This window comes from Homo sapiens, chromosome 8, assembly GCF_000001405.40.
Source record: "Homo sapiens chromosome 8, GRCh38.p14 Primary Assembly".
NCBI lineage: Eukaryota > Metazoa > Chordata > Mammalia > Primates > Hominidae > Homo > Homo sapiens.
The window spans coordinates 41,787,135-41,812,716 of record NC_000008.11 but is presented as its reverse complement, the minus strand read 5'-3'; the positions used below and the strand labels follow the sequence as shown (position 1 = coordinate 41,812,716).

Genomic DNA, 25,582 nt, shown 5'->3' with positions numbered 1-25,582 from the left:
GTGGAAATACTGTCTTCCACAAAACTGGTCCCTGGTGCCAAAAAGCTTGGGGACCGCTATTCTCTGGTATATTTCATGCTGGTTATTCTAAGAAACTGCAGACACAAGAGTAGCTCTAAGAAGCTGTCTTTTTGTCAAGGAAATCTACATCTATGAAAGAAACCTACAGTAATGAAAGTATCTTTATCAGGAAGAGGACTGCTCTAGACAACTTTTACTTTTTATCTGCATAGCAGGACAGCCTTTGCTGACCATGCATTTCCTCCGTTGACCTTCCATGGCTGGCCACTGCCTCCTCCTGGAGGCCCCAGGCCCTTCTTCCTTTCTACAGCTTAGGACACTCTATCAGCTTCAAACATCTGACCCTTCTTTGAGTCTCATATTTTGTGGGACTCCCATATATATAATTATGTATATAATTATGGTTTTCTCCCTGTTCATCTGTATTATGTCAACTTAATTTGTAGCACAGCCAAAGAACTTAGAACAGTGGAGAGAAGCCATTTTTGCTCCCCTGCAGACAAAGTGAAGGAAAATGAAGATATTTGGGTTGGATGATGATAACGAAGTGATTTGGAACTCATGGAACAACTATACATTAAGTGGGTTACTTGATGAATTAATATCAGCCCCAAGGGAGAGCTTTAGTGATGTGCTGCTGGGCCCCATCCCTGGCCATGTACTGATTAACATTCCAGTTTACAGTTGCCTGCAGACATAGCAAGCAGCTTCATTTAACTCTCAGGGAGCTGGATCATTAAATATTCAGATGAATGGAGGCTATAATTGCTCTTTGTCTTGTGTTAGGACATATACAGGTATGTCATCACCACCTCTGAAAGATCTTGAGAAACATGGACAAACTAAAAGTATAGTCAGAGAAATTAACAATAATAATAATAACAATAGCTACATGTACTGAGCACATACCACGTGTGGGCACTGTGTTGAACATTGCACCGGCATAACCTCACGGAGTCCTCACAGCATCCCTGTCAGGTGGACACTATTGGCAGTCCCACTGTGCAGTTGAACACACTGAGGTTTGGGAGGTTCCGTGCTCTGGTCTCTGCAGCACAAAGACTGGTGGAAGGGTCTGGCCTGTGGCCTGGAGAGGGCAGTCTGAGCCAGGGAGGGCAGTGCCATCCCTAAGAGTGGATGAAGACTGAGGGGGAAGGCGGTGGGTTTATTCCGAATGGGGCTGATGGGCAGAAGTGGAAGCGGAAGGTGGGAGTCGCGGGGCAATGGCAGCTCCTGTGTGAGGAGGGACTTCCGAGTCTTCTGAAACCGCCTTTGCAGAATTCTAAGTAATGAGAGAAAGCTAACGTGACTGACTCCATCTTGCTTCTAATCTCATAGGCTAACTTGTTTCTTGTTTTGTTTTTTGCTTATTCTGGAATGGAGGCCAAGATAACTATGAGAGGAATTTAGTTTATAATTAAACTTTGAAGCAAGAAAAACTGAAACCCCCGCTCCCTTCCTCAGAGATTGAAGCTGCATTCATGAAACAAGGTTTGAATTATGGTAGCGGCTTGAGCTTTGCTAAAGGATAGGCAGAGTTAAACAATGAGCTGCCATGCTTAGCTTGTTTTTCTATAAATTGTGTACTGCCCCAGAGTCATGTAACCAGGGCAGGCAAGATTTATAACTTCTCTGACTATCCCTAGAGATAACATCACTACTGTGAAACCTAAAGAAGGGGCCTTTGAGATATTTTTTCAGATTTAGCATTTCTGCAGACCAAGAACCGCCACCTGGTCCTGAGACCCGCACCCGCGAACTGACGCACCTGCGTGAAGACGATTTTAGGCACCTCTGTGATGCCATCCATTGTTTCAGTTTCCCAGCCTCTGCCTGCCAAAGTACCCTTAAAACACCCTGGCCTCCGAATTCCCGGGGAGACAGGTGTGGGAAGTTTCTCCTGTTCTCCTGGCTCTCCCGGCCCTGTGGTCATGAGGCCCTTACTTTGGGGCAGTGCCTGTTCTCCGCGCTTTTGGCTTTCTGGGCAGCGGGCAAGATGAACCCATCGGGCTATTACGCTTCGGCGGCACGTTGCTCTGGAAGGCCCGTCAGGGACGCCAGAAGAGAGGCTCCACTCTGGATGACTCAGAGATGCTCTGCTCCTGTGTGGCCCGATGGACCTGCAGCCACTGCTTACAGACAGTGGGTTTGCCAGCCACTAAAAAGCCTTTGCACGGCTGTAGGGCAGCCTCAGCAGAGGGGCCACAGATGGCTTCACCGTGGAAACACGTTCCTTCTGTGGAGGTCAGATCCACGGCCTGAGGGGTGCAGGAAAAAGCTGGAGTGGCCATTGCCCAAGATTTCCCTCTTTTGGGGGGAAATATAAAATAGCCTCCAATCTTTATACCTCCTGACATGAAACCGCAGATTCGCTGATTCTTCAGCTAAGTTGTGCACATTCAGCATTTGTCAGTCTGACGGACTTTCCTCCCCCAGCGCCACCTGGATTTAGGAAATGCCAAACTATGAATAATCAGGCAGACCTCGCCCAGATCTGAAAGCAGAAATGGAAAGAGTTTGGGTGTCTAAATGCCCTTCAGGTTGGAGAATGACCCTTCAGCAGGATGTTTTAATGTTTTAAACTTTATAATCAGCAGGTCAGGGGTAAAGATGGAATTTAGGGGAACCTGAAGCGAAATTCTCCTTCAGTCTCTCTCCCTGTCCCCCCTCCCCACTGCCTGCATATAACACGCCCTTCCCACATCTGTGGATCCCCGTGGCTCACGGTAACATGACGGTGGGAGACCACCAGCCGTCAGTTAACCTGAAACAACAGGACTGATTACTTTCACAAAGTAGGAGAGGCAGAGCATCTGGGGTTTAGTCAGAAGAATGGATTCCAGCCTCAGTCAGTAATTAGCTGTAGGATCATGGGCAGTGCAGTTTGATTTTCTGAGTTTCAATTCTTCCCTATTTTTATTTTGTTTTAGAGGTGGGGTCTCACTCTGTCACTCGGGTTGAAGTGTGGTGGTACGATCATAGCTCACTACAGCCTGACCTCCTGGGCTCAAGCGACCCTCCTGCCTCAGCCTCCCGAATAGCTGGGGCTACAGGCATGCACCCTCATGCCTGGCTAATTTAAAAAATTTTTTGTACAGGTGGGGTCTTGCTATGTTGCCCAGGCTGGTCTTGAACTTCTGGGCTCAAGTGATCCTCCTACCTTGGCTCTCAAAGTAGCTGGGGTGACAGGCGTGAGCCACCATGCCCAGCCCCAATTTCTCCCTTTGTAAAACAGGAATAATAACAATTTTTCATGATAATTGAAACTCCAGCATGGTTTTGAGTATCACACACCATAGTGCATGTTGACGCGTTTGCTAATTGCTCCACGTTATTTCTATGATGATTATAAGATGGAAACCTCCTGCTGGCTTGGAAGTTTTCACAGAGCTGCGCATTTGGTGTAGATGTAGTGTTTGTTTTACAGATCCTCAAAGGATTGGGATAATTAGCTAAATAAATCTTGGCTAAGCCAGCATGTGTAAGGTGGTCATGCCCTTAACTCAGTAACATGTACAAAAAAGACCCGTAAGGCATGAGATCAAAGTGGAGATTAAGAACGACTCCCCAGTTAAGGAGAGTCACCTGGGGAAGTGTGAGCCCTGGATGAACCACATTTGTGTGGTCACCTGGGTCTGGCCATCCAAAGGCAAGAACAAGACTTGCAGGGCAGTCATGCAGCTGGGTGACTAGTGGGGATGATAATCCTATAGCAAAAAGTTAAAACATAATAACAACAAATACCCTTTGCCAGCACGGTGCAGAGAAACACTCATTTTCTGGTTGGAAAATCTATAATGCCCAATAAGGCCTCAGAAATGTTCATAAGCTGTGACTTCAGGCAGTCTAGAAAATTATCTGGGAAAGATCTTAAGGAAATAGTCACATTCAAGAGCACAAAATCTTAACTGTAACGTTTAAATTAGCAAAAAAAATTTAGGAAGCATCTGTGTGCAGCAGTAGGGGGTGGGTTAAATGAAACAGCAAACATTCTTATTTTCATTTTTATTTATTATTATTATTATTTTTTTAGACAGAGTCTCGCTCTGTCACCCAAGCTGGAGTGCAGTGGGCACGATATTGACTCACTGCAACCTCCGCCTCCTGGGTTCACTTGATTCTCCTGCCTCAGACTCCCAAGTAGCTGGGATTACAGGTGGCCGCCACCACACCTGGCTAATTTTTATATTTTTAATAGAGATGGAGTTTCACTATGTTGGTCAGGCTGGTCTCGAATTCCTGACCTCAAGTGATCCACCCGCTTCGACCTCCCAAAGTGCTGGGATTACAGGCTTGAGGCACTGTGCCTTACTTACAACAGGTAAGTGGCATGTCCCAGGTTCCATGGCCTAAGTAACAAAGGCTCACCCAGGACTGAGACCATCTTACTCCAGTGCTTTTCTCTAGACAAGGAGCTGTCAGGAAAAGTTGCTCTGGAATTGAAACAACCCCATGGGAGCTTGGGTGTGATCAGAAATTGCATGGTGGGTCTGCAATGGTGGGCCAGAGCTGTCTGAGTTGGTGCAGCAGGTAGCCCCAGGGTGCTGCACTCATAGAGGAGGTGGGGTGTCCCTGGCTCTGGCATGCTCTGCAGAGAAGACCCTTTCTGGGTCTGGCCTTAGAGCAGAGGGCTGCCGACCTTGGGGCTGGCCAGGCACAGTCTCCAGAAGGAGTCCTTCTCTTCCTCTTCCTCTTTCATCATCCTCTCTTCTTCCTCCTCCTCCTCCCCTCCTCCTCTTCCCCTCCTCCTCTTCCCCTCCCTCCTCCTTCCCCCTTCTTTTGTCCCCCTTCCTCTCTTTCTCCTCTCCTCCTCCTCTTTGTAGAGAGAAACCCAGTTCTCCTTCCCACTCCCTTCTTTGGCTCCCCCTTGTAGATGCTTGGAGAGAGGGAAGTTTTGGAGACATGATCTGGCTTTCTTCAACTAGCGTCCTTTGAACACTAGTATTTTACTCTCAGATTTAAAAACGAGAGAGGAAGTCAATGCCCTAAGATTTCAAATATTATCTCAAGAGCACTTAGAGGGGATCAGAGATTTTATGTGATACCGCCCGGCCTCATCAGTGTCCTCTTCATCATGACCACTGCCACCACCAGCACCGTGTGATCCATCTAGTACACCACCCCCTCTTCAATGCCATTTCCTGTCAACTCCTAGGGATAGTCCTGCTTACAGATACAAGGTGTGATGTTGGGCCAGCTATTCACAGGAAGAAGGTGAAAGGGCCACGACAGACAGGGCAGTACGGACTCTCTGTTTCCAATGCTGGACTTGAAGGGAGTATAAATTAACATAAATAAACTATAAGTGACTCAAAGCCACGTTAGAGTCTTATCTGGGAGGCAATATAGTGTCATGGTTAAGCATGAGACTTGGATTGAAGTCTCCATTTCTCACTGGTTCTGTGACCTTGGTAAGCACCTCTCTTGCCTCGGTCATCTGATGAGTAACATGGGGGTTACCACAGTGCCTGCCCCATCAGATTGCTGGAGTCATGAGTGAATAACAATGCAAAACTCTAGACCGTGTCTGTTTTCTTTACCCATTGCATACCTAGTAGTATGACTGGCACATAATAGGTGCTTGGTAAATATTACGAGAAAGATGGATGAGTGAATAAATGAATGATGAACAAATGAATGAATGAGAACATAGTAAGTGCTTAATAAATTTTAATAAATGTTAATTATTAGCATTATTGTAAAGTATCTAATTCTTCCATCCCTCCTCTTATAAGGATAAGAAGTATAATTTTATGGATTTACTTTTTCCCCTATTTTTCTCACATCTGTGGATGGTAAAACTGTTAGCAGCAACAGCATGATCCAATGCAGGCATAACCAGGGATTTCTGAGGACAAGACATCTATAAACTGGACAATCGTCATGGAAAACCATCGAGAGTGGAGCCTGTCACAATCTGCTCTTACAACATTGTGTTGCTTTTTTCTTTTGAGACAGAGTCTAGCTCTGTTGCCAAGGCTGGAGTGCAGTGGCACCATCATAGCTCACTGTAGCCTTGAACTTCCAGGCTCAAACCATCATGGTTCACTGCAGCCTCTAACTCCCAGGCTCGAGCAATTCTCCTGTTTCCCGAATAGCTGGGATTACAGGTGCCATCACACCCAGCTAATTTTTGTATTTTTAGTAGAGACAGGGTTTCGCCATGTTGCCCAGGCTGGTCTTGAACTCCTGACCTCAAGTGATCTTCCCTCCTTGGCCTCTGAAAGTGCTGGGATTACCGACATGAACAACTGCACCTGGCCTGTGCTGCTTTTATATTATCTTTTTCCTCCTTTTTTCCCTTTATCTTGCTCCTTTTTATACACAGTAGTGGAAAGAACAGGGCATGCATGAACTCTGCTCTGGAAAGATCCTGGACAAATTGTGTTGTCTCCCTGGGCTGCCATTTTATTCTCAAAATGAGGACATGGGCCCCACCACTCACTGAGTTCTTGTCCAGTCTATCATACTCTGGTTCTGTGATTTTTAAAAATAGCTTAACGTCAAGGTATATTTGAGTGCCTAAACTTCCAGTTTCAAAGTGTAGCCTGGGGACCCAGGGAGCTCCCCAAAGACCCTTTCAAGGGGTTCTAGGGTCAAAATTCTTCATAATACAGCAATGTTATTGGACTTTTTCACTTTCCCTCTCTTGCAAGTGTAAAGGATATGAAAAGCTCATTAATATTCTTTGTGATTCCACTCTGTAACCAGCCTTTAAGAAATTACTTGTTGAGTTTTTATGTAGTATACAAAAAGAATTTCACAATTAAATGAAAAGGCTATTAAAATACTCCTCCTTTTTCCAACTACATATCCAAGCGAAGCCAGATCTTCACATACCTCAACTGACACAACCTATTCCACCACATTGATGTAGATGGCAATATGGGAACGTATCTGTTTTTTTCTTAAGCCAGATGTTAAACAGATTTGCAAAAATGGAAAGTAGTGACCCTCTTTGCACTGATTTGTTTTTGGAAAATATAGTTATTTTTCAGAAAAATATGTTGTCTGTATTAATGTGAAATTGGTTTATTATGCTATGTTCAAATGAATTAATATATACATAGTTTTAGAAACTCTCAGTTTTAATTTCTGATATAGTAAATATTGCTAGATATAAGTCACATTTAAGAAAAAGCTCTATGGGACTGAGTGGAGTGGCTCATGCTTGTAATCTTAGTACTCGGGGAAGCTGAATCAGGAGGATCGCTTGAGCCCACGAGTTCAAGACCAGCCTGGGCAACATAGTGAGATCCTGTCTCTACAAAAACTAAATTAAAAAAATTAGCTGGGTACAGTGGCACAAACCTGTAGTCCCAGCTACTTCGAGGCTGAGGTGGGAGGATTGCTTGAGCTCAGAAGTTCTAGACTGTAGCAAGCCATGATTGTAACAATGTGCCCCTACCTGGGTGACAGAGCAAGAATCAGAGAGAGAGAGAGAGAGAGAAAGAGACAAAGAGAGAGAGACAGAGAGAGAGAGAGAGACAAAAAGAGGGACAGAGAGAGAGAAAGAAAGAAAGAAAGAGAGAGAGAGAAAGAGCTCTATGAGAGAGAGAGAAAGAAAGAGAGAAAGAGCTCTATGAGAGAGAGAAACACACACACACACACGACACACACACACACACACAGAGAGAAAGAAAGAAACAGCTCTATGGGATCCTTAATATTTTTTACTGTAAAAGGGTCCCGAGATAAAAAAGTTTGAGTTCCATTCAACACTATTCTCTAAGTTTACCGGAATGAGTGGGAGTTTACCCTTGAATTTTTAAAAAATTAATTAAGCATCTGTTGTTTAACCTTTTAAAGCTTTTAGTTTCCCCACTCTTCATGCTGACTTTTTAAAATGACTGAGGTCACTTCTCTGTTTTCACCGTGTTTTGCCGGAATGTGGGAATTTCGCAGCACTCTAAGCCAGTGCCAAGCAGATGGAGATGTGTAAAGTTTAAGCGAATGAGAATCAAGTTTTCAGAATCTGGAATATGTTCTAAAAATATTGATCTCCTAAACTGGTAGCCTGAGCAAACATTTAACATGAAATAAAGTAAATCAGTAATCTCCCTCCCATAGTTACCCTCTCATTGAAAAAGACCAGATTATTTTGCGGGCAATTAATTAATCCCTCTCATAGCCAGGGAGAGAAGCCAGCCAACTCACCTTATGAGTTTAGTATGATATGATACTAAAACTGGAGACAATTTAGGAAAAGAAAATGATAGGCCATGTGGGGGTTTTAAATATGTACACATTCTTCGATATACTTCCCTTTGACAATTTCCCTGCTGTTGAGGGTGGGCTGGTTTAGTGATTTGCTTCTAGCAAATAGAATGTGGCAGAAGTGATGATATGTGATGTCTAGACTAGGCCATGACAGCCTCGTGGCTTCTGCCTTCTCTCTTGGGTCACCCTGGGAAAAGCTAGCTGCAGTGTAAGAGGATGGTTGGCAGCCCTATGGGAGGTCCATGAGGTGAGGAGCTGAGAGCTTCTGCCAGCAGCCATCTGAGGATCTTGGAAGTGAATCCCAGCCCTAGTTGGGCCTTCAGATGACTGCATCCCCAGCTGACATCTTGATGGCAACTTCCTGAGAGACACTGTGCCAGTACCACCCAGATGAGCTGCCCCTGAATTCCCAACCCACAGAAACTCTGAAATACTAAATTTACGTATTTTAATCAGCACAATTGGGGGCTACTTTGTTATGCAGCAGTAGCAAATTAAAATAACCAATATAACTTATGAATATATAGGTGCAAAAATCCTGTAGAAAATTCCACAACTCTAATTCAATGGTGCTATATTACAAGTAATTCATTACGACCAAGAAGGGTTTAACCCAAAAATGGAAGGATAGTTTAGCATTAGAAAAATCTATTAATGCAATGTACCACCTTCACAAAAAAGGAAAAGAAAAATTTGGATTTCAACATTCATTCATGATTAAAATTTTAATAAACTGAGACTAGAAGCTAACTTCCTTAACTAATAAAAAGATATTCACAAAAGTCTTACATAAACATTATACTTAATGGTAAAACTTTAAAAGCAGCTCCATTTAAGTCAGCAACTAGATAAACATGCTATCACTGTTTCCGTTCAAAAATATATTGGATATCTTACCCAATGTAATAGAGCAAGAAAAGCAAAGAAGGGGTGCAAAAACTGTAAAAGAAGAGAACAAAATGTCCTGATTTGTGAATAATAATTGTCTACAGAGAAAAATCAAAGAGAATCATGGTCAATTTTTTTGAAGGCTAGTCAAGTGAAGCAGTGGGAATGGAGAAGGAACAAATAAATCTGTAACTGAATGTGACCAATTAGTTGTAAACATCACTGCACTCAGACCAGCCAGGGACAAACTAGGAGACCTCATAATAGAGCTCAACAAGATTTCTGGCTACAGGCTCAAGATACAAAAATGTATGTATCTATAGACTGTAACAACCCAATAAAAATATCAAACAAGAGGGCAAAGGACCAAGAGAAGCTTTGATGCTTTTTTTTTCTCTCTCTCTCTCTCCCTCCCTCTCTTTTTCTCTTTTCTTTTCTTTCTTTCCTTTCTTTCCTTTCCTTTCCTTTCCTTTCCTTTCCTTTCCTTTCCTTTCCTTTCCTTCCCTTCCTTCCTTCCTTCCTTCCTTTCTCTCTTTCTTTCTTTCTCTTTCTTTCTTTCTTTCTTTCTTTCTTTCTTTCTTTCTTTCTTTCTCTCTTTCTCTCTTTCTTTTTTCATCTCTCTCTCTCTCCCCCCCCCCCTTTCTCTCTCCCTTTCTCTCTTTCTTTCTTTCTTTTAGATAGGGTCTCATTCTCATTACCCAGGCTGGAGTGCCGTGGCATGATCATCGCTCACTGCGGCCTCAATGACTTCCCAGGCTCAGGTGATCCTCCCACCTCAGCCTCCCCAGTAGCTGGGACTACAGATGCAAGCCACCACACCTGGCTACTTTTTTCTATTTTTAGTAGAGATGGGGTTTTGCCATGTTGCCCGAGTGATCGGCCTCCCAGAGTGCTGGGATGACAGGTGTAGGCCACTGTGCCCAGCTGTTATGATGCTTTTCTAGAGGAATAAAGCAAAGAGACTTCCTCAACAATACTAAGACTTATTGCGGACAATATTAAAATTTATTATAAAATGTATTATTAGTTGCAGTAGCAATGAAGACAGTATGACATCAGTACTGAGATAGACTTATAGGCCAATGGATCATAGGAGAGAGTTCTCCTCTCCAACAGACTCATGCATGTGGAGACTTAATAAACGATGAACATGACACAGTTCAGCTGGGAGAGGATGGGCTAATCAATGGTGCAGGGATATTTCATTATCCACATAGTAAAAATCAGAACTCAACTCACATCATACACAAAATAAGTCAAGTGGATTTAAAGACCTAAATATGAGAAGTAAAACTATAGGTCGGGCGTGGTGGCTCATGCCTGTAATCTCAGCACTTTGGGAGGCCAAGGTGGGCAGATCACTTGAAATCAGGAGTTTGAGACCAGCCTGACCAACGTGGTGACACCCTGTCTCTACTAAAAATACAAACATTAGCCAGGCGTGGTGGTGAGTGCCTGTAGTCCCAGCTATTCGGGAGGCCGAGGCAGGAGAATTGCTGGAACCCGGGAGGCGGAGGTTGCAGTGAGCTGAGATGGTGCCATTGCACTCTAGCCTGGGCGACAGAGCAAGACTCCATCTCAAAAACAAAAAACAAAACAAAACAAAACAAAAACCCTATAAAATAAATATAATACAGAAAAAATTGTATAAGCTCAGGGTAGAAGTGGACTCCTTAAGACAAAAGAAACACAAACCATAAAGAAAATGATCAACATATTTGACACATTAAAACCCATATTAGTTCGTTAAAAGATACCATTTTAAAAAGTGTAAAGAACTACACACTGGGAGGAGATATTTTCAATGCACATAACTGAAAAATGATTCGTATTCAGACTGCAGAGAACTCCTCCACCTCGATAAGAAAAAGACAAACAACATAACAGAAAAATGGGCAAAGGGCTTGAATAGTAATTTCATAGAAGAGGAAAAGTAAATGGCCCATAAACATGTGAAAAGATGCTCAACCTCATTAGTAATCATGGAAATGCAAATAAAAAGCACCACACCATACCATTTTATACCAACCAGATTGACAAAAATATTAAAGTCTGACAATACCAAATGTTGTTGAACTTGCAGGGCAACCACATAACCCTGCTGTTGACAGTGTAAATTGGAAGAGCCAATTTCAAAAACAAGTCAGTGTTATCTAATAAGATTGAAGATACATGTACGGTAAAACTCAGTAATTCTCCTGCTAGCATACACACTAGAAAGATCTCACACACGTGCACTGGGAAGCTTTTATAAGAATGTTCATAGCAATAATGTTTTAATAGGAAAAAGTTGAAAACAGCTCAAATTGCATTAGCAGTAAAATGGATAAATATTTGTGGCCTTAGCAACTCAGGAGGCTGAGGCAGGAGGATTGCTTGAGCCCAGGAGTTCAAGGCTGCAGTGAATCGTGATGGGGTCACTGCACTACAAGCCTGGGTGACAGAATGAGATCCCATCTGGAAAATAAATAAATATTGTGTACTATTTGCCTACAATGGGATATCACACAGCAGTGAAAAGGAATAAATGAATCCTGGCTGAATTTCAGGAACATGACGTTGCAGCAAAAATGCAAGTAGCAGAAGAATTCACACAGCATAATAATTCTACTTATTCACAGTCCAAAAACATGGCAAAACTAAACAAGACATTGTTTAAAGATACAACCATAAGGTGAAACCCCGTCTCTACTAAAAATACAAAAATTAGCTGGGCATGGTGGCGTGTGCCTGTAGTCCCAGCTACTCGGGAGGATGAGGCAGGAGGATGGCTTGAACCTGGGAGGTAGAGCCGAGATCACGCCACTGCACTCCAGCCTGGTGACAGAGCGAGATGCCGTCTCAAAAAACAAACAAACAAAAATCATACAACCATAAGTGGAAAAACTATAGAGAGAAACAAGGGATGATAAACACAAAATTCAGGATAATGTTTCCATCTCTGTTGGGGAGGGGAGCAGGGCATGAGGTCGATGGAATCCCATGAAAGACTGGGGCATTGGAACCCAGAGCCTCTTTGTTAGCTGGGTCATGGGCACATGACACTATCAGTTTATTATCTTTTTGTTGCCTTCCAGATGGGTATAGATATAGATGGGGAACGTATATTGTCTAACTGTGAACTGAATTAAAGCGTTAATCTAATGCAAAATGGCTCACATGGCCTCCAGACCCTAGATCCAAATGGCTTGGGTAGAAACCTGGCACCGTGTCTTCTTAAGTAGCTCTCTTAATCTCCCCGTGCCTCCGTTTCTTCACAATGACTGGATCTGACGAGAGTGAATTACAGTGTAATTATAAGGGTTTTATGTATGACTAAATATTTTGTCAAGTGCTTAAAGTAGTATCTGGTACCAGGAAAGCACTATATATATGTTTGTTAAACAAAGGGTGGGGGCTTGTGAAGGGGTTTGGGGGAGTGGAGAGGAGCACTGAATTTTCTAGGTGTTCTCATAATCCGGGAGCAAAACTTTAAAAGCCTGGCCCTGCATTTCCAGCGTGGGGACAGCTTTTGCGGCCCCCTTTCAGAGACTCGAGGGAAACAAGGTATTCTATGGCAGATAACTTGGGAAGCTCTTGGGGCAGTCTGTTGGTGAAGGGAGGGACAAATGTCACTCCAATTCACAGTCCATGACATGCCTGTCCTTAGTTCCTTGTCACGGGGGCAGCTGCTTCCAGGGGTGAATTTGAGGGTCTCAAGCACATCGTGAGTCCGGCTCCCTGAAACCAGGCTGCTCCCCGAAACCAGCCCAGCTCCCTTTCACCTGGGTGTTGGTTTGCCCCTGAGCATGCCTGGCCTTTTCCTCCGCTTCCTGTATCCAAGGGAGAGGAGCCTTGTGTTGCCTGGGGTGACCTAGTTCTGGGGTTAAATTCTGAAATGACCTGGCTCCCAGAGAAGCTGTGCTGGCCCGCCTCAAGCCTGAGGGACTGGGGAGGCACCATGTTGCCCACCGGAAGCACTGCACAAGGAACTAGCAGGATCCTAAGCTTTGGAATTATACTCTCTACCTACAGGATGTTTCCTACATCATGTGACACTCTGTGTTCATATGCTGGTGTTCTCTCTTCTGAGTGTGGGAACTCCAAAGAGAAAAATATTGTTCCTCCTCTTCCTTGGATGGTGAAACGGCTTCTAGCTTTCGTCACTCCTGCTGGTGACAACCACGGGTTCGTTCCAGAAGCCATTACTGAGCACTTGCTATGTTCTGAGTCAGCTAATATTTAAGCTTCATTCTTGCCCCTGAGTGGGGTGCATGCCACGCTGCCCCCTCATGAGTGAGCCTGGCCCAGTATGTGTTGCCAAGTGAGATCATCTGTCCTTCGGGGAGGCTGTCTGAAATCATGTCTAATGTGACCTGCTTCTTTTACATTTTTTAGCTTTCTGGCTCCCTCAAAACAAACAAACAACAACAACAACAACAACAAACAGCCATTGTTTTGAGTCCAAGTGCTTCAAAAGGCTCCTGCTTAAGGACTGTGCTGTGGTAGACATGGCGGTTCCTTCTAGCCCACATGTGGCCTAGAACTCTGTCAGCTCTGTCAGGCACTAGTCCCCGGGGAGATGGCCCAGCGTCCATGGGGTGCGCTCCAGCTGCTGTGGAAAACACAGACGGGTCATGAAGCTGATCTCGGTGGCATCTTTCCGCAGCAGCTGTGCCCTCATGGCAAGGCCAGTTTGGTGCTGCGGGAAAGCTCTAAAGCCAGATGGCGGCCTCGTCAGGGGACCTGGACCAGCGTGGGCCCAGCAGGAGGCCAAGCATCACGTGAGGAAGGCTGGAGAGACCCTTCTCAGGGAGGACTGCACCAGAGGCCCCCAGCGGTGACACCCACCCCTAGAGGAAACCATGGAGGGAGACAGCCCCCACCTTAATGGCACCACCCCCAGGGTCCAGGGAGGCTGCCATGCCCCTGGCCCCGCAGCTCAGCTCCTCGGGGTCACCTGTTCCCTCTGCCAGCCACCAACTGCCATTCCAGGATATGGTGTTCTCACTGATAAAGCCATTCTGGGCAGATGACATCTCATCCCGTTGTTGGACGGGCGGACGTTGCAAAAGGCGGCTTCCTAGGCCAGGCCTGCAGGAGCTTGGCCTGGGATGGTCCAGCCTGGCTGGTGGGCAGCCCCGACCTTCTGGCAGCTGCGGGACCGCCTGGGCGCCCCCCTGCCCGCGCCATCCCACGCCCTCCTAGCCGCTGTTTGCGGTGACTCACCTCGGTTCCCAGGAACGTTGTTATTTTTGGCCCTGGTGTTATTAAGATTGTGCCCAGATTCCCTGCAAATCGGCCACTAAGCAGCATGGGGCCCTAGTGAAAGCACGCGGAGAACAGAGGGGGCAGCGCGCTTCGGGAGGCTCCCCGGCCTTGGAGAGCTCCAGCCTCCCCGGGGGGCGGAGGGGCCGGCCAGAAGGACTCCTGCGCCCCACACCCGCAGCGCCGACAGGGCGTGCGCCCTGGCTCAGCGCTCCCCGACTGCTCCCAACCCAGGGGCACCCAGGGCCGAAGCTTCCTCTACAGAGCCTCCCCCTCCTTAGGAAACAAAACAAAACAAAACAAAAACCAGGAAAGGCAAATTGTGTAGATGCCACTAAAAAGAAATTCCCGCTTAGTATTGCTTCCCCTGCACCCAGCGACTTTTAGACAAGCAGAAGAGGAGATGCCCTGCCCGCGACTAAACCGGACTCCCTTTCATTTACTACCCTCTCAGCGTGTGGCCTGATGTCCAACTCTGGGCTCTGAACTCAGCTCTCCCCGGCTGCTCTCGACCCCGGGGCAACCAGGGGTCCGCGCCGGCCGAGGCCTGGGGAGCGGGGCCTCCTGGGGTTGGGGGAGGAGGTGCTCTTGTAATCTGCGGTCCCCAGGCGGGCGCCACCCCTCCGCCCGCCCGTGCCGGGAGCGCCCGGCCCGACAGCAAGCGCCTCTGGGGCCGATAAGGCCCTCGGGGGCCTGGCCCGCACGTCACAGGCCCCGCAGAGGCTGCGGTGAGTCCGCCAGCCCCAGCTGCTCCTCCTCAAGCCCCCAAGGCCCTTCGGCGGGCCCCTGCTGAAAGACCGGCATGCCCTATTCTGTGGGCTTCCGCGAAGTGAGTACTGGGCGGCTGCTCGGGTGGACGGGGAGATGTCAGGAGGGGGCCACCCAGGCCGCGCCAGTAGGCAGCACGCGAGCAAGAGCAGCTTTGCACACCCCACCCGCCTCGCCTCCCCGTGGGCTCCCTGCCTTAGCATAGCGGCACATCGACCTTGTAGCTGAAGGCAGCAGGTGGACTCTGCCCTACTCGCTGAAGCCAGTTTCATATTTTTTACATCCAGAGATTTGCTGTCAAATTGAGTTCCAACTACCTGGGTCTCTGAATTATGTCCTGTCAGCAATAGCGCTGGGGAGGGATGGTTTTTGGATTATAGTCCAAATCTATTGAGATCTTAGAGGCTTTCCTTTGAGTCTGCTAAACTGCGTTTTGTAGGTGTGTTATTACAGGCTGCGGGGTGGGCCACCCGGCTAGGGGGCTGTCACTGTCATTTGGAAGGGGACTTTGGCTTGTTTTCTCAAAGACTCACGGAGGCCGGTGGTCTCATGGTCACACCTGCTCGGTTCTTTTAATTTATGTTGTTAATTCATGGAGAGAAATATGTCTACGAAGGAAGGGAAAGAGCGGCGGCGTGGCCTGGGGAGATAGGCTCTCATGGATATTTTTCAAGTGATAATGGCGCGTTAGCAAGGCCACTCCAGCCTTCTTGTTCTCCCTGTGTAGATAGAACCCGTCCTATCTCTGCCTGGCAGCACGGCCAGCCTGTGCCATGTGTCAGTGTCCTTTGTTGGGTACGGTTCTTAGTTTAGTGATGGATTCAGAGCCCAGAGTTGGACATCAGGCCACACACACGCTGAAAGGGTAGTAAGTGAAAAGGAGTCTGGTTTAGTCGCGGGCAGGGCATTTCGTCTTCTGCTTGTCTAAAAGTCGCTGGGTGCAGAGGAAGCAATACTAAGCGGGAATTTCTTTTTAGTGGCATCTGTACAATTTGCCTTTCCTGGTTGATTTTTTTTTTTTTTCTAAGGAGAGAGAGGCTCTGTAGAGGAAGCTTGGGCCTCCCACTTTAGTTCCACCAGCGGCAAGCAATTCAGGTTAAGTTGGTAGAGTCTTTTTCCTCTTGTGGCACCACTCTAGGGCAGAGGTTCAGGGTGAGTCTTGGAGACCTGATCATAGCCAACTTTGGAAGGAGGCAGGTGACTGCAGGTGTCCCGTGCAATGTGTGAACTGTCTTCAGACTCAAACGCAAGTGTTTTGCAGGAATAAGGAATGGCCGATGGAAAAAATGGGTAAAATTAGCCTTCTTTCACAAATCAAGTTACAGCCTCAAGCCACTTTTCTCTGTGTCTCAGTTTTCTTGTCTGGGAAATGGGTCTGCTGTGAGGCTGAAGTGAGTTACTCGGTTATGAAAACATTAGCAAAGGGGACAGAGGCTTGAAGACGTTTATTGTAACCAGGATCCATAGACTCAACTCACCCTTGACTTTATGGGTCAATTATAATTAGTTTCTTCTCTGTTATTGGTATATAATAATTTACATATTTGTGGAATACATGTGAGTGTTTGTTTCATGCATAGAATGTGTACTGACCAAGACAGGGTATTTGGGGTGTCCATAGACTTGAATGTTTATCATTTTTACGTGTTGGTATCATTACAAGTCCTCTCTTCTGGTAACTTTGAAATGTACACGGTATTGTTGCTATTATAGTATAGTCACCCTAAGCTGCTATCAAACACCAGAACTTATTTCTTCTATCTAACTGTATGTTTGTACGCATAACCAATCTCTCTTCATTCTCTTGCCCCCCACCCACCCTTCCTGGTCTCTGGTATCTATTATTCTATTCTCTAGGTCCAAGAAATCAACTTTTTTAGCTCCTATGTATGACTGAGAACATTCAGTATTTGTCTTTCTGTGCCTCGCTTATTTCACTTAGCATAATGACCTCCAGTTACAACCACGTTGCTACAAATGACATGATTTCATTCTTTTTCGTGGCTCAAGCAGCTGTAATTAGTTTTTATATTTATTTATTTAATAATAATTATTATTATTTTTAAGACAGAGTCTCGCTCTGTTGCCCAGGCTGGAGTGCAGTGGTGTGATGTTGGCTCACTGCAACCTCTGCCTCCTGTATTCAAGCAATCCTCGTGCCTCAGCCTCCTGAGTAGCTGGGACTACAAGTGCGTGCCACCATGCTTGGATAATTTTTGTATTTTTAAGTCTCAGTCTCACCATGTTGGCCAGGCTGGTCTCGAACTCCTGACCTCAGGTGATCCACCCGCTTCAGCCTCCCAAAGTGCCGGCATTACAGGCGTGAGCCGCTGCGCCTGGCCTATAATAGTTTTTAAACCCAGGTTGCCACCTCTCACCCCAAAATGGTTCTGCCAGTGTCTCTGCAAAACCAGCTGACTTATTTTGAGATTAATCAAACTGCAATATATTTAGAAAAGCAGGGTTTCAGTTGTTGGTGTTGCCAAAATGAACAGAGAAAATAAGAGTGTTTTCTAAAGGTGAAGTGACTAAAAACCTTTGTCCTCCAGGTCTGTTTAACAACCTTTACGGCCAGGCACGGTGGCTCACGCCGGTAATCCCAGCACTTTGGGAGGCCAAGGCAGGTGGATCATGAGGTCAGGAGTTCGAGGCCAGCCTGGCCAATATGGTGAAACCCCGCCTCTGTTAAAAATAAAAAAAATTAGCCAGGCGTGGTGGCGTGTGCCTGTAGTCCCAGCTACTTAGGAGGCTGAGGCAGGAGAATCGCTTGAACCTGGGAGGTGGAGGTTGCAGTAAGCCGAGATGGTGCCACTGCACTCCAGCCTGGGTGACAGAGTGAGACTCTGCCTCAAAAACAAACAAACAAACAAACAAAAACCTTTAACAAGCATTTATGAAGCACCTATTGTGTATTAGGTCCTGTTGGGGCACCGGGAATATAGCAGTGAATAAAACTGACAAAAACTCTGTCCTTGCAGAGCTTATTTCCCAGCAGGGGAAGGAAACAGGCTAAAAACAAAATAAAGGAGTAAACTGCATTCTGTTGAAAGGTGAAAAGTCAGTCCTGTTATTGAGGGAGAGGGAAGCGGGCAAGGGAAATAGGATGTGTGGGGAGTTCTGCAACTGAAATAGGGTACTCTGAGACAGCCTCATTGAGGTGCCATTGGATAAAGAGGTGAAGGAAACAGCCAGGCCAAACTCCAGAGGAAACAGCACATGCAAAGGTCCTGAGGCAGGCGTGTGTCATGGGAATAACCGGGAGGCCAGTGTGGTTGAAGCAGAGTGAGGCAGGAGGAGCAGGAGGAGGTGAGGTCAGAGAGATTGGGAAAGGGGCACAGGTGCAGAAGATGCAGGGCTTTGTACATTGATGTGGGGATTTTACTTCTGCCTTGAGCGAGATGAGAAGCATTAGATAGTATTTGTATGAGGCAAATGGCACCATCTGACTTCTGCCTATACCTATGACTTCCTAATGCCTTTGAAACCAGGGATTCACGTTTTGTAGGGATGGGCTACCAAATTAAACCACCTGATATAGTGTGGCAAATGGTGTTATCATGCAATTGTAGTACAACCGTTCTCAACTTGCTTCCCTCTGGGATACATAGGGCTGGTTGTTGACATAGTTCTGCATGACATATTTCATGGCTATACCTGGGTATTAATAATCCCCCTCTCTCTTACACGTTCCTATTTAATGAGAAAATAGTGCCATAGATGCTCCCTACTTAATAATTTACCACTGGTTATATTTAAAAGGAGATGGGAGCCACTATAAAATCACAATTCATATGTAGTATATGAATTTGCAATCACAGCTGCAGAAGATCCTTCATGGTCTTCTTGGGACCTTGGCATGGATAAAGCGGAACAAGGTTCTGGAGCATGAGCTGTCAAGAAAGCTCGGGTGTAAGTGTGCAAGAGCAGAGCTGTGATAGAGGGGAACCTTGAATGTGTTCTAAGTTTTAAAAAGCAACAGTGGTCTTCTTACAGGTGGTCTCACTCCCTCTAATCCATTCTTCACACACAACCAAAGTGCTGTTTTAGAAGGGCAAATCTTACCACTTCACTTTCTTGCTTTAAATCTTCAGTGGCTTCACAGTGTTCTTAGGACAGTGTAGACTCCTTCCTGAGATGCCTCCTGTCCTGATCCTGCACTGTTGTATTTATTTTTTTTTATTGTTTGTTTGTTTGAGACAGGGTCTCACTGTATTGCCCAGGCTGGAGTGCAGTGGCACAAGCATAGCTCACTGCAGCCTCCAACTCCTGGGCTCAAGTGATCCTCCTTCCTCAGCCTCCAGATTAGCTGGGACTGCAGGTGTGTGCACCTCCACGTTCAGCTAATTTTTGTATTTTTTGTAGAGACAGGGGTCTCACTATGTTGCCCAGGCTAGTCTTGAACTCCTGGCCTCCAGTGAGCTTCCCTCCTTGGCCTCTCAAAGCACAGGGTTTACAGGCATGAGCCACCGCACTCGGCCCTGGACTACTTCTTATTCAGAACTCCCACAATAATTGCTCCAGGACACTGTCAGTTCCTTCAACAGGCTGCACTTGGACATTTTTATATAATATTCAGAAACTCTACATGGGTGGGACTCAGGCTTGCCTTGTTCACTGCTGTGTCCTTGGCACTTAGCACAGTGCCTGCCACATGGTAGATGCTCATTAAATGTTGGTTGCATTCATGAATGAACAGTAAATTATTTGCAGAACACCTCGTGGTTGATGACTGCTTAGCAGTTTGCTCACAAACCTGCGATTGAAAATTATTGCTCTAGGGTTTGCGTGGATGACTTTTTAGATACTCTGCTCTTGGGATTTTTTAAAATTCATAAAATAGTTTCTCCTTCCTCTGAACTCTCATTGCACTTCATCAGAACCTCCCTCAGGGCCCTCCTCATTTTCCACACCTCCCCGCTTATTTATATATATGTCATCTCTCCTCCACGCTGTGAGCGGGCGGGAGGCGGGCAACAGCTCCATCTGACTCATCTTTGAGTCACTTCCTCTTATTTTCCCTGGCTTCGACCAAGGTCTTGAACCTGGGGCTGAAAAATAGATTTGTTAAGTGAATTAATTGGAAACCCATGAATGAGTCTGAGCTCCTGCTTCTCCTTCGCTTGCCCAGATCGTGAGCTTTGGCTGTTAGGAAAATGTTGGGCCAATTGATGTCGGGAAGGTCTGGAAAATAAATTTGCAAGCTGGCCCCGTGCGGGAGTAGGTGGTTACAGCCTGACACCCCTGCCGGACGAGGTTTCTCAGCACAGCCCAGCCTGGACTGCAGCCCTCTCAGGGCAAGTGTGGCGTTTGTCATCATTCTCCGACAGGCAGTGACAACCAATTAGAAATCTAGTGAGAAGTGGCATTGTTTTCCCTGCTGCCTCCCGCTCACCCTTGACTGTCACCCTCCCCTCGGCTGCTGCTCTCTGAGCAGAGGCTGATTTATCTCCTGAATTTACTGTGGGGGCTCAGGAAGAAAAGCGCATTACAGGAGGAAGGCTGACTGCTGCTAATGGGCCCGGCTGAGCAGCTGCTGAAACCTATTAGCGTGTAGGGGAAGGTGGCGCAGGAATGAGACAGGGTGTGTTGCCTGTGCAGAAAACTTGTTTATAGACAGATTAGGAAAAACAAAGCAAGCAAACAACCTTCTGACCCCAGCCCTTCTCTCCTATAGGAACGCCTGGAAGGGTTTTCCTTCCTGAGAAAGCTCTGGGCCCCCCATGGTGTCTGGAAGGCAGCGGGGAGCCTCTGTGGCCCTCCCCCAGGGTGTTATTGGTCAGAACACTGTTCTGCCCTTTCCAGATGTGGGAAATGAAGCAATATTTTGGAAGAAAGGGCACCTGGTTTCAGTTTTCTTCAGAAAGTTAGTGCCTCCCCACTTTGGGAGTCCGAGGTGGGCGGATCACGAGGTCAAGAGATCAAGACCCTCCTGGTCAACGTGGTGAAACCCCATCCCTGCCTAAAAATACAAAAATCAGCTGGGCATGGTGGCGTGCGCCTGTAGTCCCAGCTACTCAGGAGGCTGAGGCAGGAGCATCACTTGAACCTGGGAGGCAGAGGTTGCAGTGAGCAGAGCTGCACTCTAGCCTGGAGACAGAGCAAGTCTCCGTTCAAAAAAAAAAAAAGAAAGAAAGAGAGAGAGAAAGTTAGTGCCTGCCAATGGATCACCTGAGGTTAGGAGCTTGAGACCAGCCTGGCCAACATGGCAAAACCCCATCTCTAAAAATACAAAAATTAGCCAGGCATGGTGGTAGGCGCCTGTAATCCCAGCTACTCGGGAGGCTGAGGCAGGAGAATCACTTGAACCCAGGAGGCGGAGGTTGCAGTGAGCTGAGAGTGAGATGCCATCTCAAAAAAAAAAAAAAAAAAAAAAAAAAACAAAGTTAGTACTGAGAAAAGCTGAAAAGAGGCTGGCACAGGTCCAGCCCTTCTCCACACCTAGGGGCGCAGCCATTGATGGAGGGTGATGATGATTTGCAAACAGTGGAGCAGATTCCAGCTACTCAGAAAACCTATTAGCGGCTTGTGCAGCCACCTGGTGCCCTCTGTCCTGCTGTCAGCCCACTCTGGCAACCTCTCCTCTGGGTGGGGGAGCTGGGCTGGGCCAGGGTGTGTACCTGTAGTTTGCTTTTTCTCCAAAGGGAGTCAATGGCTAGAGGACCCTCATCTCCCATCTGTCTAACCTCTAACATGTCTAAGTCCCGCTTGGGACTGGCTAATGTTCTGTCTACACGGCGTGATTTGAAGATGCCAGAATGTCTTCGTAGTCTTTGAATACCTCCCCCAACCCCCATTAGCCAGAAAGTCTAAAGTTCCGCCATCAGAGATTATTCCTTAAATTCTTAAAGGGGTTTTATATCTCAAAGTCTTCTATTAATTGCATGCATTTAAAGCTGTATAATAGGATCTCGAGTTGTACAGATGCAGGGAACTAGTTCTTAGTGGGATTAGTTGAGGATTAGGCAAACGCCAGGAGTGAGATTCAGGGCAGGTCATGAATTGGTGGGGTGGGGGTGGGAGGTGCAGAGGTGTTGGTGCAGTGGTTAGGAGGGAAGGGGAAGCTCGCTCCCTGAGCTCCCTGAGCTCCCTGACTTAGGATAGTGACTGGGCTCAAGATTCCTTCCCAGGCCGGGTGTGGTGGCTGATGCCTGTAATCCCAGCACTTTGGGAGGCTGAGCTGAGCGGATCACCTGAGGGCAGGAGTTCGAGACCAGCATGGCCAACATGGTGAAACCACGTCTTTACTAAAAATACAAAAATTCGCTGGGCATGGTAGTGGGTGCCTGTAATCTCAGCTACTTGGAAGGCTGAGGCGGGAGAATCGCTTGAACCCAGGAGGCAGAGGTTGCAGTGAGCCGAGATCGCACCATTGCACTCCAGCCTGGGCGACAAGAGTGAAACTCTGTCTCTGAAAAAAAAAAAAAAAAAGATTCCTTTCCAAGTGGTCAGATACCCTAGGACAGTCTGGCCTGTCACAGCATGGAGAGTGCAGTTTGGTGAGTGATGTGGGACTTACAGTGGACCTGGAGGCGGGTGACAGGAACTGCCCAGATTCTGAACACCCTCTTCACAAACGTGTCATCCAGGTGGCGACAGGTTCAGCCCAGGAATTGGCTGGACTGTGTGGCCTGAGGTCCCCGGGGTTTTATCCCTTGCCTTTCTACCAGCTTTTCAAACCTTGTGTGTGGAATTATATCATTTTACCATACAAGAAGCACAGCACTTTCTTTATATATTTCATCTTAACGTGGTATTGAAACTATCTTGGGATGTAGGTGACAGTGTCCTCGCTTTCTAGATGAGGAAACAGGGTTGAACAGTTAATTGATTGGCCTATGTTTCCCAGCGAGGTTCCCAGCTCACGTCTGTCTCCTAACTCTCTAATATAGACACTCTTCACCATACTGGTCGTGCTGAAACTGTTATTTAGATGCCTGTCTCCCCACTAGTCTTCAGTCCCAATGTCCAGATTGCCTGGTGCAGGTGAACTCGTCCACACAGGGCCTTGAGGCTGGCAGTGTGACCGCAGGGGCCCAGCAGCACAGCACATGGTCCAGCTTGTGGGCACCGCAGCCAGAGTGCCTGACCTCCAAACTGTGCTCTGCTGCTTTCTGGACTTTATCCTCCATCAGATATGTGCCCTCCCCGCATCTCCAGTCCGCACCTGGAAACCAAAGACCATCGTGGTTGCCCTGGGGTTGCTGTGAGCAACACAGGAAATCAGAGCCAGCCTTTTGGGAAAAGTCGGTGATTATAAACTTTTTTGAAATCACAGGTTCTTCTCTGGATCAATAACTCTTAACCTTCTAAGAACTCTGGAAATTTAAAGAAGATCTTCCTACCTTTAACGCACCTTTGACTCAGGCCAACAGAAAGTATGGAATAGGAAACAGTAAATCACACAGTCTCTTGTTCTCAGGAAGTGGGAAATGCTGCATTCGAACAATACCATGGAGGCTGAAACAGGGAAGAGTGAACGCTCTGGCCAGGAAAGCAAGAGAGTGTGCCAGGGAAGCTTTGCAGAGGAAGAGAACTTTGAATGGGCCTTGAAGAATCTGTAGAATTTCACAAAACAGAGAAAGCCTCATGAAAAGTGTGGCTTGTGTGTTTGGGAGAGGTGTAGGATCCAGTGTTGAGGGACAGGTGGGGTGGACAGAGTAGGAGATGAGGATGAAGAGATAGAGAGGAGCTGGTTTGAGGAGCCTTCTGAACGTCAGCCTGAGACTTTGGTCTTTAGTCCACAGGGGTTGGGGAAGCCCACAAAGCTTTCTGAGTAGGAAAGTGTTAGGGCTTCAGAAAGCCCCCATCTGGCAGGGCTGATGAAGAGGGGTCACTGGAGTGAAAATATTGCCCCTCTACCAGTAAGGTTTGATGAGGTCCTAAATCGAGGGGATTGGAAGATCATGAACATTCTTGAGTAGCGACTTTGTACCCGCCACCATGCTACGTGATTAAATATCGCAGCATATTTAATGCTTACAGTGGCCACATAAAAATTACCCATGTTACAGATGAGGAAACTGAGATTGCAGCTAGGAAGAGTGATGAAATAAAGTTGTTTATTGGGGATATTGACTGGCTGGTCGTGTAGGTGCCCTTGTGGTCTGAGATGTAGTTCTGGTAACTTGATTTTGAGACACAACCAGAGGATAGCAGGTTTGGAAACTGACTTAATGCACCTCACAGGTGTCTGGTGTTCACGTCAGTACTCCGACTTCACAATGAGAAATCTGACTCCTCCGGTCCTCTGCCATTCTGTGTTCTTGTTCACTTGTGTTCTCCGGTCAGTGAATTCTGTCCTAATAAGAAAACCTAAAAGGCAAGTCAGTCACAACCAATGTCCTGGTAAGGGCGCAATCAGAGAAACAGGAGGCGACATCGTCTTGAATCTGTCATCGAGACTGTGCTATGGCCTGATGAATCATGCACGCCCCATAGCCAAGAGCACTGTGTTTGTTACAAATTGCTGATTAAACAACATTGGAATAGAAAATGAGTCTCACTGCCTGGTGTCAACGCCAATCCGATTGATAGCAGCTGTCTGGGATGCTGTGTTGAGAGATTCTGAAGCCACTTTAAGGCTTATGGGCAAGAGTGCTGTGATAACTTAGCAACCTCTGCCAGGGGTACTGGGGGGCAGGGTGGTGTATTATGGTAGCCATTTCTAGGTCACTGGTGTTTTTCCTTCTTTCTCCTCCTCCTCCTCCCCCTCCTCTTCTCCTTCCTTCCTTCCTGCCTGCCTGCCTTCTTTCTTCTTCCTTTTGAGACAGGGTCTTACTGTGTCACCCAGGCTGGAGTGCTGTGGTCATGGCCCACTGCAGCCTCCACCTCCTGGGCTCAAGTTATCCTCCTACCTCAGCTGGGACTACAGGTGCAGGCCAGCACGCCTGGCTATTTTTTTCTTCTTTCTGTCTCCTTCTTTAGTTTAGCCTTAATCAGATGAGCCATGTTTTGACTGCTATTTACTTAAGAGACATCCTGTTTTTCAAGGATGTTTGAAGCTAGCTGGGGCTATGTCTCTGTGTTGATTGCACTGGTTTACCTCTCAGAAGGTCATATGATACCACACGTTTTCCAGTTCCTTATCTCTCCCAGCTACCCCTGTCAGGTTGGGCTGGGGGTTGGGGGGTGGGTCACCATTAAATATAGGTCAGAGAGCCAGTAAGTGGCAGGGTCTGACCTAGGACTGTGTGAATTCTAAGCCCAGCTCTTTCTACTACACAGAAGCCATAGGTAGGGGAGGCTTTTCATTACCAAATGGGTGTGAATTGCCATTTAATATCACCAGCCAGAATGGACTTTTCCCACATTTTTTATATAATCACCCACAAAGCATGACTGCTCGTCTCCACTGGCCTCCAGCCCCTCCACCACTGTTTCCCTGCCCCTGTCCAAGCCCAGCCCACCCCTCTGGGCCAGGCCAGGGCCTGCCCTCCAG

General features: G+C 46.8%; 1 protein-coding gene and 1 long non-coding RNA gene across 10 annotated transcripts in view, besides 5 other annotated features; one reads left to right on the top strand and one right to left on the bottom strand.

Moving 5' to 3' along the window:
- The window catches only part of ANK1 (ankyrin 1), a 243,517-nt gene that overhangs the window by 84,025 nt on the left and 133,910 nt on the right, over positions 1 to 25,582 (top strand). For 4 of the 5 annotated variants that reach the window (NM_020477.3, NM_020475.3, NM_000037.4 and 1 more), the window contains exon 1: positions 15,095 to 15,205. The exons of the other annotated variant lie outside the window; for it this stretch is intronic. In NM_020477.3, the coding sequence (NP_065210.2) occupies positions 15,179 to 15,205 (27 nt within the window). In that variant the 5' untranslated portion in view covers positions 15,095 to 15,178. Of the gene's footprint in view, positions 1 to 15,094; positions 15,206 to 25,582 lie in introns of those variants that run through there. 5 annotated transcript variants of the gene reach the window in all.
- Positions 2,481 to 3,433: an enhancer, noted in NCBI's record as "H3K4me1 hESC enhancer chr8:41666802-41667754 (GRCh37/hg19 assembly coordinates)". NCBI's record gives its function as "activates a minimal SCP1, AML or CMV promoter by ChIP-STARR-seq in primed H9 embryonic stem cells {active_cell/tissue: H9 hESC(primed)}" and the evidence as "EXISTENCE:reporter gene assay evidence [ECO:0000049][PMID:30033119]".
- On the bottom strand, positions 11,376 to 14,939 carry LOC105379392 (uncharacterized). 5 transcript variants are annotated; one of them, XR_949708.3, is made up of 3 exons: positions 14,338 to 14,939; positions 12,289 to 13,723; positions 11,376 to 11,586 (listed from the first exon to the last, which is right to left on the bottom strand). It is a non-coding gene; the product is annotated as an uncharacterized LOC105379392 (long non-coding RNA). The 5 variants fall into 5 exon arrangements; XR_949707.3 differs by having other exon boundaries at positions 11,376 to 12,398; positions 13,142 to 13,723; XR_007060899.1 differs by having other exon boundaries at positions 11,376 to 13,720; positions 14,338 to 14,430; positions 14,823 to 14,939.
- Positions 12,823 to 14,022: an enhancer, noted in NCBI's record as "BRD4-independent group 4 enhancer chr8:41656213-41657412 (GRCh37/hg19 assembly coordinates)". NCBI's record gives its function as "activates an origin of replication core promoter dependent on BRD2, P300/CBP, MED14 and CDK7 cofactors, and independent of BRD4, by STARR-seq in HCT116 cells {active_cell/tissue: HCT116}" and the evidence as "EXISTENCE:reporter gene assay evidence [ECO:0000049][PMID:35650434]".
- Positions 19,461 to 20,660: an enhancer, noted in NCBI's record as "P300/CBP strongly-dependent group 1 enhancer chr8:41649575-41650774 (GRCh37/hg19 assembly coordinates)". NCBI's record gives its function as "activates an origin of replication core promoter dependent on BRD2, BRD4, P300/CBP, MED14 and CDK7 cofactors, with strong dependence on P300/CBP, by STARR-seq in HCT116 cells {active_cell/tissue: HCT116}" and the evidence as "EXISTENCE:reporter gene assay evidence [ECO:0000049][PMID:35650434]".
- Positions 20,092 to 20,386: an enhancer, noted in NCBI's record as "tiled region #14104; HepG2 Activating DNase unmatched - State 1:Tss, and K562 Activating non-DNase unmatched - State 1:Tss". NCBI's record gives its function as "activates a minimal TATA promoter and a strong SV40 promoter by Sharpr-MPRA in HepG2 and K562 cells {active_cell/tissue: HepG2 | K562}" and the evidence as "EXISTENCE:reporter gene assay evidence [ECO:0000049][PMID:27701403]".
- Positions 20,312 to 20,606: an enhancer, noted in NCBI's record as "tiled region #1042; K562 Activating DNase unmatched - State 1:Tss". NCBI's record gives its function as "weakly activates a minimal TATA promoter and a strong SV40 promoter by Sharpr-MPRA in K562 cells {active_cell/tissue: K562}" and the evidence as "EXISTENCE:reporter gene assay evidence [ECO:0000049][PMID:27701403]".